General features: G+C 39.6%; 1 long non-coding RNA gene across 10 annotated transcripts in view; it reads left to right on the top strand.

Annotated features, from left to right (window-relative positions):
- The window catches only part of LINC02331 (long intergenic non-protein coding RNA 2331), a 165,830-nt gene that overhangs the window by 43,663 nt on the left and 109,177 nt on the right, over positions 1 to 12,990 (top strand). For 3 of the 10 annotated variants that reach the window (NR_184212.1, NR_184213.1, NR_184216.1), the window contains exon 3: positions 7,386 to 7,459. The exons of the other annotated variants lie outside the window; for them this stretch is intronic. This is a non-coding gene — a long non-coding RNA (long intergenic non-protein coding RNA 2331). The remainder of the gene's footprint in view (positions 1 to 7,385; positions 7,460 to 12,990) is intronic. 10 annotated transcript variants of the gene reach the window in all.

Raw genomic sequence — 12,990 nt, 5'->3', positions numbered from 1 at the left:
CAGCTGTCTGTCCATTCCAAACCTTCCACCCCCACCCACATTATGTGTAGTCATGCTCCCCATGGGTGCCCGAAAGTAAGGCCAACCTCAATATATGGTGAGACACCATTTTTCTCATGATCTAATCCCCAAAGAAGCCTTTTGGCTAGCTTAATATGGTAAGAGTAATGGATATTGTTCAGTTAAATATTTACTTATGATATTTAGTGCATTAATTTAATCTCACATGATTAAAATCACATCTTCTATATAATGATATAGTATTTTAGAACCAATTTTTTGAGTTCACATTTGACAAGATCATTTTTATTTGAACTCTTCATGTGCATCGTGGAGACAGGCAAGGAGCATCAGAGCCTTTGTCATTCTGAGAGCTATTTTTTGAATTGCTTAATATAGTTTTCTAGAGACTGTTGCCTTTACTTTTATTTCATTTTTTGAATCTGAATGTGTAATACTGTTTCTGGAAATTTATCCCAGCCATGTCTACCCATGTGTATAGTATTAAATTTATATTTTTTCTTAAAAAATAATATCACCCTGTGATCCCTTTAATATAACTACTTAAGTGAATCCTGAAAGTCTCATTAACATGATATCTAATGTATAGAATTGTCAAAGACCTAGGATTAATAACTCAGCCTATAGTAACTTTTTTCCTTTTGAAAATCTGCTCACATTATAATACTTCCACAAGCTTCCAAACCTAGAATTGATATCTGTTTTGCTTAATGAATCTCCATCCAATGGCATTTGTTGTTTATAAAAAGTCCTTTAAATGGCATCCACATGCTATGAGATATTTGGCAAAGGCTCAAATATGAAGTGACTGTGTTTTAAGAGGTAATGTTTTGAGGAAGCTTTGCCTAATGTTCAGGCATATACAGTGTATTTAGATATGATTTTACTTTGTGACATCTCTTTTTCCTGCCATGTCTACACTCCATCAAGTTCCTACTCAGAAGTTGGCAGAAGTGAATATTTCTCTCTGAAGATGACTTCATGCCTCTTAGAGTTAGGAGGTACTAGTTAAGGAACAATACTTTAGATGCTCACTGCCTAAGATAGCTTATAGTCACCCCAAATAATTTTATAACAGGACAGATGTAGAGTACAACAAGTAAGCAATGGTATGACACGAATGAATGACATGAATGAAAAGAAAGAGACCCGTTGAAAGGGTAAAACAAGAAGAAAAAAAATAGCAGGGATTAATAGACTTGACAGTAAAGTGGAAAGTCTAGTAATTTTAAAAAATTAATATTTAGATAACTTGCCGAGTGAACTGTTTTTAATTTCAGGTGGATGAATATATGAGTAAGTTATTGGGTTAAAGAAAAAGTATTATTATTATTTTTTTTTGGTTTAACCCTGAAGGACTTTGTAGAAGAAGAGGAATTTTTAGGTCTTCGATGGAGAGAAGTCAGATCGGGTGATTTGTTGTGGAGTAGGTCACATAGGAGGTATTATTTATAAACAGTTAAGGAAAAGTACAAAAGGACTAATGAAGAGGTTGGTTAAAACAAAGGAGGGGCTGTAGAGAAAGGTAGAAAAGGAGCTGATGGATAGGAGTTGGTAGTTTTTAGGCATTTAAACCTAATGGAAAGGAAAATGAGAAAAATTATTGGGTGGGAAATAAAAAGATCTGTGTTTATAAGGATAAGTAAGATGGATAGCTACGGTGAGGGAAGATGATGTTGATAGAAGGTGAGTGCTGGGGAAGACCCGAAGGCCATTGGAGAGTAGTGAACAGCCATCCAATTTGGATGGAAGTGATGAAATAGGGCATCAAGGATTCAGACTAAGGTTTGGCTTGGAGGAGAGGATAGCACTTATGCCGTGAAATTAGATTATACTTCTTACATACTCGTATGACTAGGTGAATTTGAATTAGATCTAATTATTTGTAACTACTTTGGAGATTAGATGCTCAAGTCATAGAATGTAGTCAGACATTGGCATTTAATCATTTTATTAGTCAGAAGGCACTTAGATTTAATAATTGAGTATACCTTATTTGTATGCCTGGCTCTACGCTATGAGTAAATAGACCTATATATCATATATTGGAGTCGAATATTGGTATTGCTGATCAACAAGTTTAGGTACCTTCCTGTATCCTACATTTGGAATATCCATATCTGTGTGTCATCCAGGGCCCCTCCTTGTCCATAGGTACTTCCCACCTATGAACGTCCAGAGGATGCAATACATCTTCCTCTCCTACACACCCAAAGCTGGCTAAACATATGCTTTGGTTCACATCACCTCTTTTGAGCATGTAGTATATGTCAAGTGCTTTGCCCACATTAGATTTCATGGATGCCTCACAATTACTGCAGAAGGTGAGCCCTGCTATCACAGATAAAGCAAGGAACACAGAGATTGGGCAACTTGCCAAAGGTTACACCAAAGGTTACACCATTAGGGTGTGGAATTGGGAGTAGAACCCATGGCAAGCTTCATTCTAAAGTTGATTGTCTTCAACCTCACCCTAAGTTGCTTTTGTAATTTACATATGTTTATAAGAGTTGACATTTGGAAATAAGGACTCAATTAATTAATATGATCTTTTATTAAAAAAGGACAGAATTATAAAAGTGGAAATATTTATTTCCAATTGTACATATTTTGATATTATTTTACGTAACAATGTTGCTATTTTCAAAGAAGCCCTTTGATGAGAGGAAACGATCAGGTTCTGGCCTAAAACTGGCCTGGATTTTAATCCTGCCCTTATCACGTACCAGATTTCTAATGCTGGTAAAGTTACTTACCCTCCAAGCCTTTACTTCTAAAATGATAATAATGGTATTCACATTTTATTCATTTTGCATTTTTTAAAATTATACCTTAACTTCTGGGATACATGTGCAGAACCTGCAGGTTTGTTACATAGGTATACATGTGCCATGGTGGTTTGCTGCACTCATCAATCCATCATCTACATTAGGTATTTCTCCTAATGCTATCCCTCCCCTAGCCCCCCACCCCCTGACAGGCCCTGGTGTGTGATGTTCCCCTCCCTGTGTCCATGTGTTCTCATTGTTCAACTCCCACTTATGAGTGAGAACATGTGGTGTTTGGTTTTCTGTTCCTGTGCCAGTTTGCTGAGAATTATGGTTTCCAGCTTCATCCATGTCCCTGCAAAGGACATGAACTCATCCTTTTTCATGGCTGCATCATATTCCATGGTGTATATGTGCCACATTTTCTTTATCCAGTCTATCATTGATGGGCATTTGGGTTGCTTCCAAGTCTTTGCTATTGTGAATAGTGCTGCAATAAACATATGTGTGCATGTGTCTTCATAGTAGAATGAGTTATAATCCTTTGGGTATACACCCAGTCATGGGATTGCTGGGTCAAATGGTATTTCTGGTTCTAGATCCTTGAGGAATCACCACACTGTCTTCCACATGGTTGAACTAATTGACACTCCCACCAACAGTGTAAAAGCGTTCCTGTTTCTCCACATTCTCTCCAGTATCTGTTGTTTCCTGACTTTTTAACGATTGCCATTCTAACTGGCATGAGATGGTATCTCATTGTGGTTTTGATTTGCATTTCTCTAATGACCAGTGATGATGAGCTTTTTTTCATATGTTTGTTGGCCACATAAATGTTTTATTTTGAGAAGTGTCTGTTCATATCCTTGGCCCACTTTTTGATGGGCTTGGTTTTTTTTCTTGTGAATTTGTTTAAGTTCCTTGTAGATTCTAGATACTAGCCCTTTGTCAGATGGATAGATTGCAAAAATGTTCTCCCATTCCGTAGGTTGCCCATTCACTCTGATGATAGTTTCTTTTGCTGTGCAGAAGCTCTTTAGTTTAATTGGACCCCAACTGTCAATTTTGGCGTTTGTTGCCATTGCTTTTGGTGTTTGTCATGAAGTCTTTGCCCATGCGTATGTCCTGAGTGGTATTTCCTAGGTTTTCTTCTAGGGTTTTTATGTTTTAGGTCTTACAATTAAGTCTTTAATCCATCTTGAGTTAATTTTTGTATAAGGTGTAAGGAAGGGGTCCAGTTTCAGTTTTCGGTATATGGCTAGCCAGTTTTCCTAACACCATTTATTAAATAGGAAAGCCTTTCCCCATTGCTTGTTTTTGTCAGGTTTGTCAAAGATCAGATGGTTGTAGATGTGTGGCGTTATTTCTGAGGCCGGTGTTCTGTTCCATTGGTCTATATCTCTGTTTTGGTGCCAGTACCATGCTCTTTTGGTTACTGTAGACTTGTAGCATAGTTTGAAGTCAGGTAGCATGATGCCTCCAGCTTTGTTATTTTTGCTTAGGATTGTCTTGGCTGTATGGGCTCTTTTTTGGTTCCATATGAAATTTAAAGTGTTTTTTTCTAATTCTGTGAAGAAAGTCAATGGTAGCTTGATGGGGATAGCATTGTATCTATAAATTACTTTGGGCAGTATGGCCATTTTCATGATATTGATTCTTCCTATCCATGAGCATGGAATGTTTTTCCATTTGTTTGTGTCCTCTCTTATTTCCTTGAGCAGTGGCTTGTAGTTCTCCTTGAAAAGGTCCTTCACATCCCTTATAAATTGTATTCCTAGTTATTTTATTCTTTTTGTAGCAATTGTCAATGGGAATTCACTCATGATTTGGCTCTCTGTTTGTCTATTATTGCTGTGTAGGAATGCTTGTGATTTTCACACATTGATTTTGTATCCTGAGACTTTGCTGAAGTTGCTTATCAGCTGAAGGATATTTTGGGCTGAGACAATGGGGTTTCCTAAATATACAATCATGTCATCTGTAAACAGGGACAATTTGACTTCCTCTCTTCCTATTTGAATACATTTTATTTCTCTTGCCCGATTGCCCTGGTCAGAATATCCAATACTATGTTGAATAGGAGTGGTGAGAGAGGGCATCCTTGTCTTGTGCTGGTTTTCAAAGGGAATGCCTCCAGCTTTTGCTATTCAGGACGATATTGGCTGTGGGTTTGTTATAAATAGCTCTTATTATTTTGAGATACGTTCCATTGATACCTAGTTTATTGAGAGTTTTTAGCATGAAGAGGTGTTGAATTTTATCAAAGGCCTTTTCCGCATCTATTTAGACAATCATCTGGTTTTTGTCATTGGTTATGTTTATGTGATGGATTACGTTTACTGATTTGCATATGTTAAACCAGCCTTGCATCCCAGGGATGAAGCCAACTTGATCATGGTGAATAAGCTTTTTAATGTGCTGCTGGATTCAGTTTGCCAGTATTTTATTGAGGGTTTTCGCATTGATATTCATCAGGGATATTGGCCTGAAATTTTCTTGTTTTGTTGTGTCTCTGCCAGGTTTTGGTATCAGGATGATGTTGGCCTCATAAAATGAATTAGGGAGGAGTATCTCTTTTTCTAATCTTTGGAATAGTTTCAGAAGAAATGGTACCAGCTCCTCTTTGTACCTCTGGTAGAATTTGGCTGTGAGTCTGTCTGGTCCTAGGCTATTTTTGGTTGGTAGGCTATTAATTACTGCCTCAATTTCAAAACTTGTTATTGCTCTATTGAGGGATTCGACTTCTCCCTGGTTTAGTCTTGGGAGGGTGTATGTGTCCAGGAATTTATCCATTTCTTCTAGATTTTCTAGTTTATTTGCATAGAGATGTTTATAGTATTCTCTGATCGTAGTTTGTATTTCTGTGGGATCAGCGGTGACATTCCCTTTATCATTTTTTATTGTGTCTATTTGATTCTTCTCTCTTTTCTTCTTTATTAGACTGGCTAGTGGTCTATCTATTTTGTTAATATTTTCAAAAAACCAGCTCCTGTATTCACTGATTTTTTGAAGAGTTTTTCATATCCCTATCTTCTTCAGTTCTGCTCTGATCTTGGTTATTTCTTGTCTTCTCCTAGCTTTTGAATTTGTTTGCTCTTGCTCCTCTAGTTCTTTTAATTGTGATGTTAGGGTGGTGATTTTAGATCTTTCCCCCTTTCCCTTGTGGGTGTTTAGTGCTATAAATTTTCCTCTAACCACTACTTTAGCTGTATCCCAGAGATTTTAGTATGTTGTGTCTTTGTTCTCATTGGTTTCAAATAACTTATTTACTTCTGCCTTCATTTCGTTATTTACCCAGTAGTCATTCAGGAGCAGGTTGTTCAGTTTCCATGTAGTTGTGTGGTTTTGAGTGAGTTTCTTAATCCTGAGTTCTAATTTGATTGCACTGTGGTCTGAGAGACTGTTTGTTATTATTTCCATTCTTTTGCTTGTGATGAGGAGTGTTTTACTTTCAATTATGTGGTCAATTTTAGAATAAGTGTGATGTGGTGCTGAGAAGAACATATATTCTGCTGATTTGGGGTGGAGAGTTCTGTAGATGCCTATTAGATCCACTCGGTCCAGAGCCGAGTTCATGTACTGGGTATACTTGTTAGTTTTCTGTCTCGTTGATCTGTCTAATATTGACAGTGGGGTGTTAAAGTCTCCCACTATTATTGTGTGGGAGTCTAAGTCTCTTTGTAGGTCTCTAAGAACTTGCTTTATGAATCTGGGTGCTCCTGTATTGGGTGCGTATATATTTAGGATAGTTAGCTCTTCTTGTTGCATTGATCCTTTTATCACTATGTAATGCCCTTCTTTGTCTTTTTTGATTTGTTGGTTTAAAGTCTGTTTTATCAGCGACTAGGATTGCAAACCCTGCTTTTTTTTTTTTTGCTTTTCATTTGCTTGGTAAATATTCCTCCATCCCTTTATTTAGAGCCTATGTGTGTCTTTGCACGTGCGATGGGTCTCCCGAATACAGCATACCATTGGGGCTTGACCTTTTATCCAATTTGCCAGTCCTGTGTCTTTTAATTGGGGCATTTAGCCTGTTTACATTTAAGGTTTATATTGTTATGTGTGAATTTGATCCTGTCATTATGATGCTAGCTGGTTATTTTGCCCATTAGTTGATGCAGTTTCTTCATAGTGTTGATGGTCTTTACAATTTGGTATGTTTTTGCAGTGGCTGGTACTGTTTTTTCCTTTCCATATTTAGTGCTTCCTTCAGGAGCTCTTGTAAGGCAGGTCTGGTGGTGATGAAATCTCTCAGCATTTGCTTGTCTGTAAAGGATTGTATTTCTCCTTCACTTATGAAGCTTAGTTTGGCTGGATATGAAATTCTAGGTTGAAAATTCTTTTCCTTAAAATGTTGACTATAGGCCCCCACTCTCTTCTGGCTTGTAGGGTTCCCGCAGAGAGATGGGCTGTTAGTCTGATGGGCTTCCCTTTGTGGGTAGCCCAATCTTTCTCTCTGGCTGCCCTTAACATTTTTTCCTTCATTTCAGCCTTGGTGAATCTGATGATTATGTGTCTTGGGGTTGCTCTTCTCAAGGAGTATCTTTGTGGTATTCTCTGTATTTCCTGAATTTGAATGTTGGCCTGTCTTTCTAGGTTGGGGAAGTTCTCCTGGATAATATCCTGAAGAGTGTTTTCCAGCTTGGTTCCATTCTCCCGGTCACTTTCAGGTACACCAATCAAATGTAGGTTTTATTTTTTCACATGGTCACATATTTCTTGGAGGTTTTGTTCATTCCTTCTCATTCTTTTTTCTCTAATCTTGTCTTCATTCTTTATTTCATTAAGTTGATCTTCAATCTCTGATATCCTTTCTTCTGCTTGATGGATTCAGCTATTGATACTTGTGTATGCTTCATAAAGTTCTCGTGCTGTGTTTTTGAACTCCGTCAGGTCACTTACATCCTTCTCTACACTGGTTATTCTAGTTAGCAATTTCTCTAACTTTTTTTCAAGGTTCTTAGCTTCCTTGCATTGGATTAGAACATGCTCCTTTAGCTCGGAGGAATTTATTACCCCCCTTCTGAAACCTACTTCTGTCAACTTGTCAAACTCATTCTCCGTCCAGTTTTGTTCCCTTGCTGTCAAGGAGTTGTGATCCTTTGGAGGAGAAGAGGCATTCTGGTTTTTGGAATTTTCAGACTTTGTGCACGGGTTTTTCCTCATCTTTGTGGATTTATCTACCTTTCGTCTTTGATGTTAGTGACCTTTGGATGGGGTTTTTGTGTGGCTGTCCTTTTTGTTGATGTTTATGCTTTTCCTTTCTGTTTGTTAGTTTTCCTTCTAACAGTCAGGCCCTTCTGTTGCAGGTCTGTTGGAGTTTCCTGGAGGTCCACTCCAGACCCCATTTGCCTGGGTATTACCAGCGGAGGCTGCAGAACAGGAAAGATTGCTGTCTGTTCCTGTCTCTGGAAGCTTTGTCTCAGAGGGGCACCCACCAGATGCCAGCCAGAGGTCTGCCTTATGAGGTGTCTGTAGACCTCTGCTGGGAGATGTCTCCCAGTAAGGAGGCACAAGGATCAGGGACCCACTTGAGGAGGCAGTCTGTCCCTTAGCAGAGCAAGTGGGAATGTTTAAGTCTGCTGAAGCTGCACCCACAGCCACACCTTCCCCCAGGTGCTCTGTCCCAGGGAGATGGGAGTTTTATTTATAAGCCCCTGAGTGGGGCTTCTGCCTTACTTTCAGAGATGCCCTGCCCAGAGAAGAGATATCTAGAGAGGCAGTCTGGCTACAGCAGCTTTGCCAAGCTGCGGTGGGCTCTGCCCAGTTGAAACATCCCTGTGGCTTTGTTTACACTGTGAGGGGAAAACTGCCTACTCAAGCCTCAGTAATGGCGGATACCCCTCCTCGCACCAAGCTCAAGCATCCCAGGTTGACTTCAGACTGCTATGCTGGCAGCAAGAATTTCAAGCCAGTAAATCTTAGCTTGCTGGGCTCCATGGGGGTGGGATTTGCTGAGCTAGACCACTTGGCTCCTTGACTTCAGCCCCCTTTCCAGGGGAGTGAATGGTTCTGTCTTGCTGGCATTCCAGGTGCCACTGGAATATGAAACAAAAAAATAACTCCTGTAGCTACCCCAATGTCTGCCCAAATGGCCGCCCAGTTTTGTGATTGAAACCCAGGGCCCTGGTGGCGTAGGCACCTGAGGGAATCTCCTGGTTCGTGGACTGCAAAGACTGTGGGAAAAGTGTAGTATCTGAGCCAGAGTGCACCATTCCTCATGGTACAGTCCCTCAAGGCTTCCTTGGCTAAGGGAGGGAGTTCCCTGACCTCTTACACTTCCTCAGGTGAGGTGATGCCCCACCCTGCTTCAGTTCACCTTCTGTGGGCTGCACCCACTTTCTAACCAGTCCCAATGAGCTGAGCTGCGTACCTAAGTTGGAAATGCAGAAATCACCTGCCTTCTGCGCTGATCTCACTGGGAGCTGCAGACTGGAGCTGTTCCTATTTGGCCATCTTGCCAGTTACTTGGTATTCACATTTTAAGGACACAAATAAAAAGAATGAGACCAGTTGAAAGGGTAAAACAGGAACAAAAAATTAGCAGGGACTGATAGATTTGGCCCGGGATTGAAAAGGGGCATGCAGTAATGATTGTCAGGTTTTTAACTTGGATGACTGGAAAAATGTTTTTGCCAGTAACAGAAATAAGAGGAATGGATGACATATTGAGATGCCAAAAACACATGTAGGTGGAACTGGCCACCAAGCCTTGATAAAGTGTCAGAACTACAGAGTTAGTGTAGAATTAATGGTTAGATTTATTAGAATAGTTATTTCTAAAGTGTAAAGACAAAAAAAAAAGGAAACGAAGACAGAATCCTGGAGTACACATGAATTTAGGGAACAGAGCAGAAAGAACTAGAAAAGGAGAGCAAAAAGAAGTGGTCAGCATGAAAAATGAAGGATCGGAATGATGAGTGTCACAAAAACAAAGGAGGACTTGGATTCAAGGACTGGGTTAGAGTCAGCTATGTCAAGTGACAGAGAGATGAAATTAAGAAGGGTGAGAAAAGTACATGGTGCTGGATATTAAAGTTAACAAGGCCAGTGGCCTTGTATAAGGTGAAGAAAAACATTCCAACAGGTGCTGGAACCTCTTAGGAGCATGAAAGCATGTGAGGAGAATAGTAGAAATCTGAAATTAGTAAAGAGGATGGTATAACAGAATATGGTAGACTTCAGTAGGAGAGTTTGCTGAGTGGTTAGGGAAACAAATTACGGTTTGAAGCTCTAGACAAGGAGGTGGAGAGCATTGGAGGAGACTCAGGTAGCAGCAGCCTCATCTGAGAACTGTAAAAGAAATGATATCAGCTTGAGAAATCAGCATGAGACGGAGGGAACAACTTTAGAAGAGTGGACCTCAGTAACTTGGGAGCTCCACAGGTTGTGATTACACAGGTTAGTAGAGGGTTGGGTGTGGCAGAACTGACAAGGGGAAGTAGCAGGCTAAACACCATAGTGGATAGTGGAGGAGGAGCTGGCTGTGAAAGGCCACTCAAGGAAGTTATTATGGATACAGGCATGATGATGGGGCAGGAGTAGGCAACAAGCTGAAGGCAAGCCTTTGGGAAAGAAAGGCAGTGTGACTTGTCCTGATATGACTACTGGAAGTTTGAGACAGCCTACCCCTGTAAATGTCTCTCCCTCGCTATCAAGCGTTTCTGTAAATGGCATTCTCCCAGCTTCCATGGCAAAGAAAATGGAGGACGGAGCAATAGTTGCTATGTGGCTACAAATTTTTGCTGAGTCTTTTACTGAGCATGTAATTTAAGATGGCTCTTGAAGAACTTTTACTGGAAGATAAGTTAGAAAGTTGTTCTACCATCTTTTTTTTTTTTTACTGGAATATTGCCCATGGGTTTACAAATTGAGAGACATATAGAAAAATATGATTACAGAATGTTTGGCAAAACTTGGAGACAGACTGCATATAGAAAATGAAGAAAATAGAGGAATTTCAAGGTTGCAAGTTTAGAATACTGAGAAGTTAGAGGATATAATAGGTTGAATGCAATAGGTAAAATAGAAAGATTTAAAGACTGAGAGAAAGGGAAATATAATTAGGAATTTGGGGGTCCACTTCCTTCTTGACAATAGAACAAGACGGTATAACAGTTTTTATAATTTGAATATCACCCTTACAATTTTTGCCCCAGGTCTGCATACTAACTTTGCTCTTGTTTACTTAATTTTTGTTAGCTCACTTTTTAAAAATCCTAAATATTTCCTAAGCAGCAATGGAACCTTGAATTCAATAGATAGTTTACATGTTTTCCTAAATGGATATCAATATAGAAATATTAAAGATATTTGTGTCTGAATGTTGGAAAATAGTGTCTTAGCAAATTGAAGAGAAGCTTGAGATAGTGCTTTAGGCCTGAGTGTCAGTTCAAACATCTTCGATGATAACTAAATGCTTAGAGCAACTAAACAACCTAAGAGAGTCAGTACAGGAGGAAGGGCTTTGGCTTGCAGGATTTCCGAGGCAGCAATCAAGGAGAAACAGGTTATTGGAATGCAAAATACTCCCAGGATCTTCAGGGATAAAACAGTGTGTGTTTGTGTGTATGTATCAACTTTATCTGAAGGCATTTGTGGGAATGGTTTTAGAAGAACGATAGGAACAGAACAGAAACAGATCATAGTAAACAAAGAGGAATGCACAAAGTAACCAGACAGTAGAATTTGACTACTCATCCGAGGAGGTGAGCTTTGAAGGTTAGTCTGCAAAGACAGTAATATTTAACATAGTATCATGTGACAATTAAGTAAAATAGTACATAAAGAGCTTAGCACATATTATCAATAAATGATAGATCATGAAAATGAGGAGTATAACAAAGTTATAACTGCTTAAAAAATAGACAGACATGAGTATATGTTCTAGATACAAGGAGAAAGAACTGGAAAAGTTGCTGCCAGGGAGAGAATATAGGACTACGGCAAATCTCCCTTTAGGGAGAAGGAAAGACCTTCTCAATTCAGGTACTTAAAGAGGTCAATATTTCTGGAGATAAAGACATCATCCTTTTCCAGAACTGCAGGGAAGAAGAGGAAAGGGATGGGACAGTCATCTGTCAAAATGGTTGTAGGGGCAGCCTGGGAAGATGGTACTTGAAATTAATTTCCCTGAGGGAACTTGGGGTGAGATGGCATGAGGGCCCCGTGAGGAAAGAAGGGTGCTCATTCACACTGAAGACCCTGGATATATTCTTAGGGGCTGGCACTAGGCTAACGTCTTAAAACTTTGCACTTTAAGCTGGGCATAGTGATGCATGCCTGTAGACCCAGATACTCTGAAGCCTGAGGCAGGAGGATATCTTGAACCTGGGAGGTTGAGTCCAGCCTGGGCAGCATAATAAAATACTGTAAGAAAAAAAAATCTGCACTTGACTCAGATTTGGTCATTTGAAACCAACCTAATGTGTTATTTGAGGCACTGAAAGGCAAGATCATCATTTCAAATATAGGGCTAGTTGAAAAGTCACACCTCAAATAACCTCATGAACTTTTAAGGACAGGAATGTATTTTGGCTCAAATTTGAGAAATGTATGGATTTAACTTTCAGAAACTACTTAACAATAACCTTGATGCAGTTAGGAATGCTTTGGCCATGTTTCCATTTGCATGTATGTGCTGGGTTTGGAAATCTGGGCTGTGTACTCCAGAATCACCCAAACTTCCCAAATGTGATTTAATTCTGGAGAATTTGAGAAGACTTTACATGTTAGACAAACGTAAACTGGTTCTGCACTCTATGTGGTTTGCATGAAAGCTCCCAGTGGCTGAGCTGGGTTTCCCAAGTGTCCAAAACTCCCTGAAAGTAAAACCCTGGGTATGGGTTCCTTTAAGGTCAGTCACTGCATTTTCATTCCAAAGATTTTCTTGTTCTTGAAAAGGACCAGGCAAAGGGAGGGGTCTCTGATCTGGAGCATCTCTGCTTTTGGCCCAGGCACCCATCACCCCATCAGTTTGATTCCTGCTCTGTAACCACAAAGACAAGTATGATGAATCTCCTTTTGGAACACAATGCAGTTTGCTTGGATAAACATCCACTTTAGACAAACAATAAAAGCAGCTCAAGTGGGGCCTTGGCTGCTCTCCTGGTGTTACGCTCATGAATATGCCTTTGGTGCTTGGCAGCAAAAATTTTCTGGTTGCACAAAATAGTAAACCACCCTTTGGGAATACCCATCC

This window comes from Homo sapiens, chromosome 14, assembly GCF_000001405.40.
Source record: "Homo sapiens chromosome 14, GRCh38.p14 Primary Assembly".
Classification (NCBI taxonomy): Eukaryota; Metazoa; Chordata; class Mammalia; order Primates; family Hominidae; genus Homo; species Homo sapiens.
The sequence above is the reverse complement of the archived record's forward strand: the minus strand, read 5'-3'. Positions and strand labels throughout refer to the sequence as shown.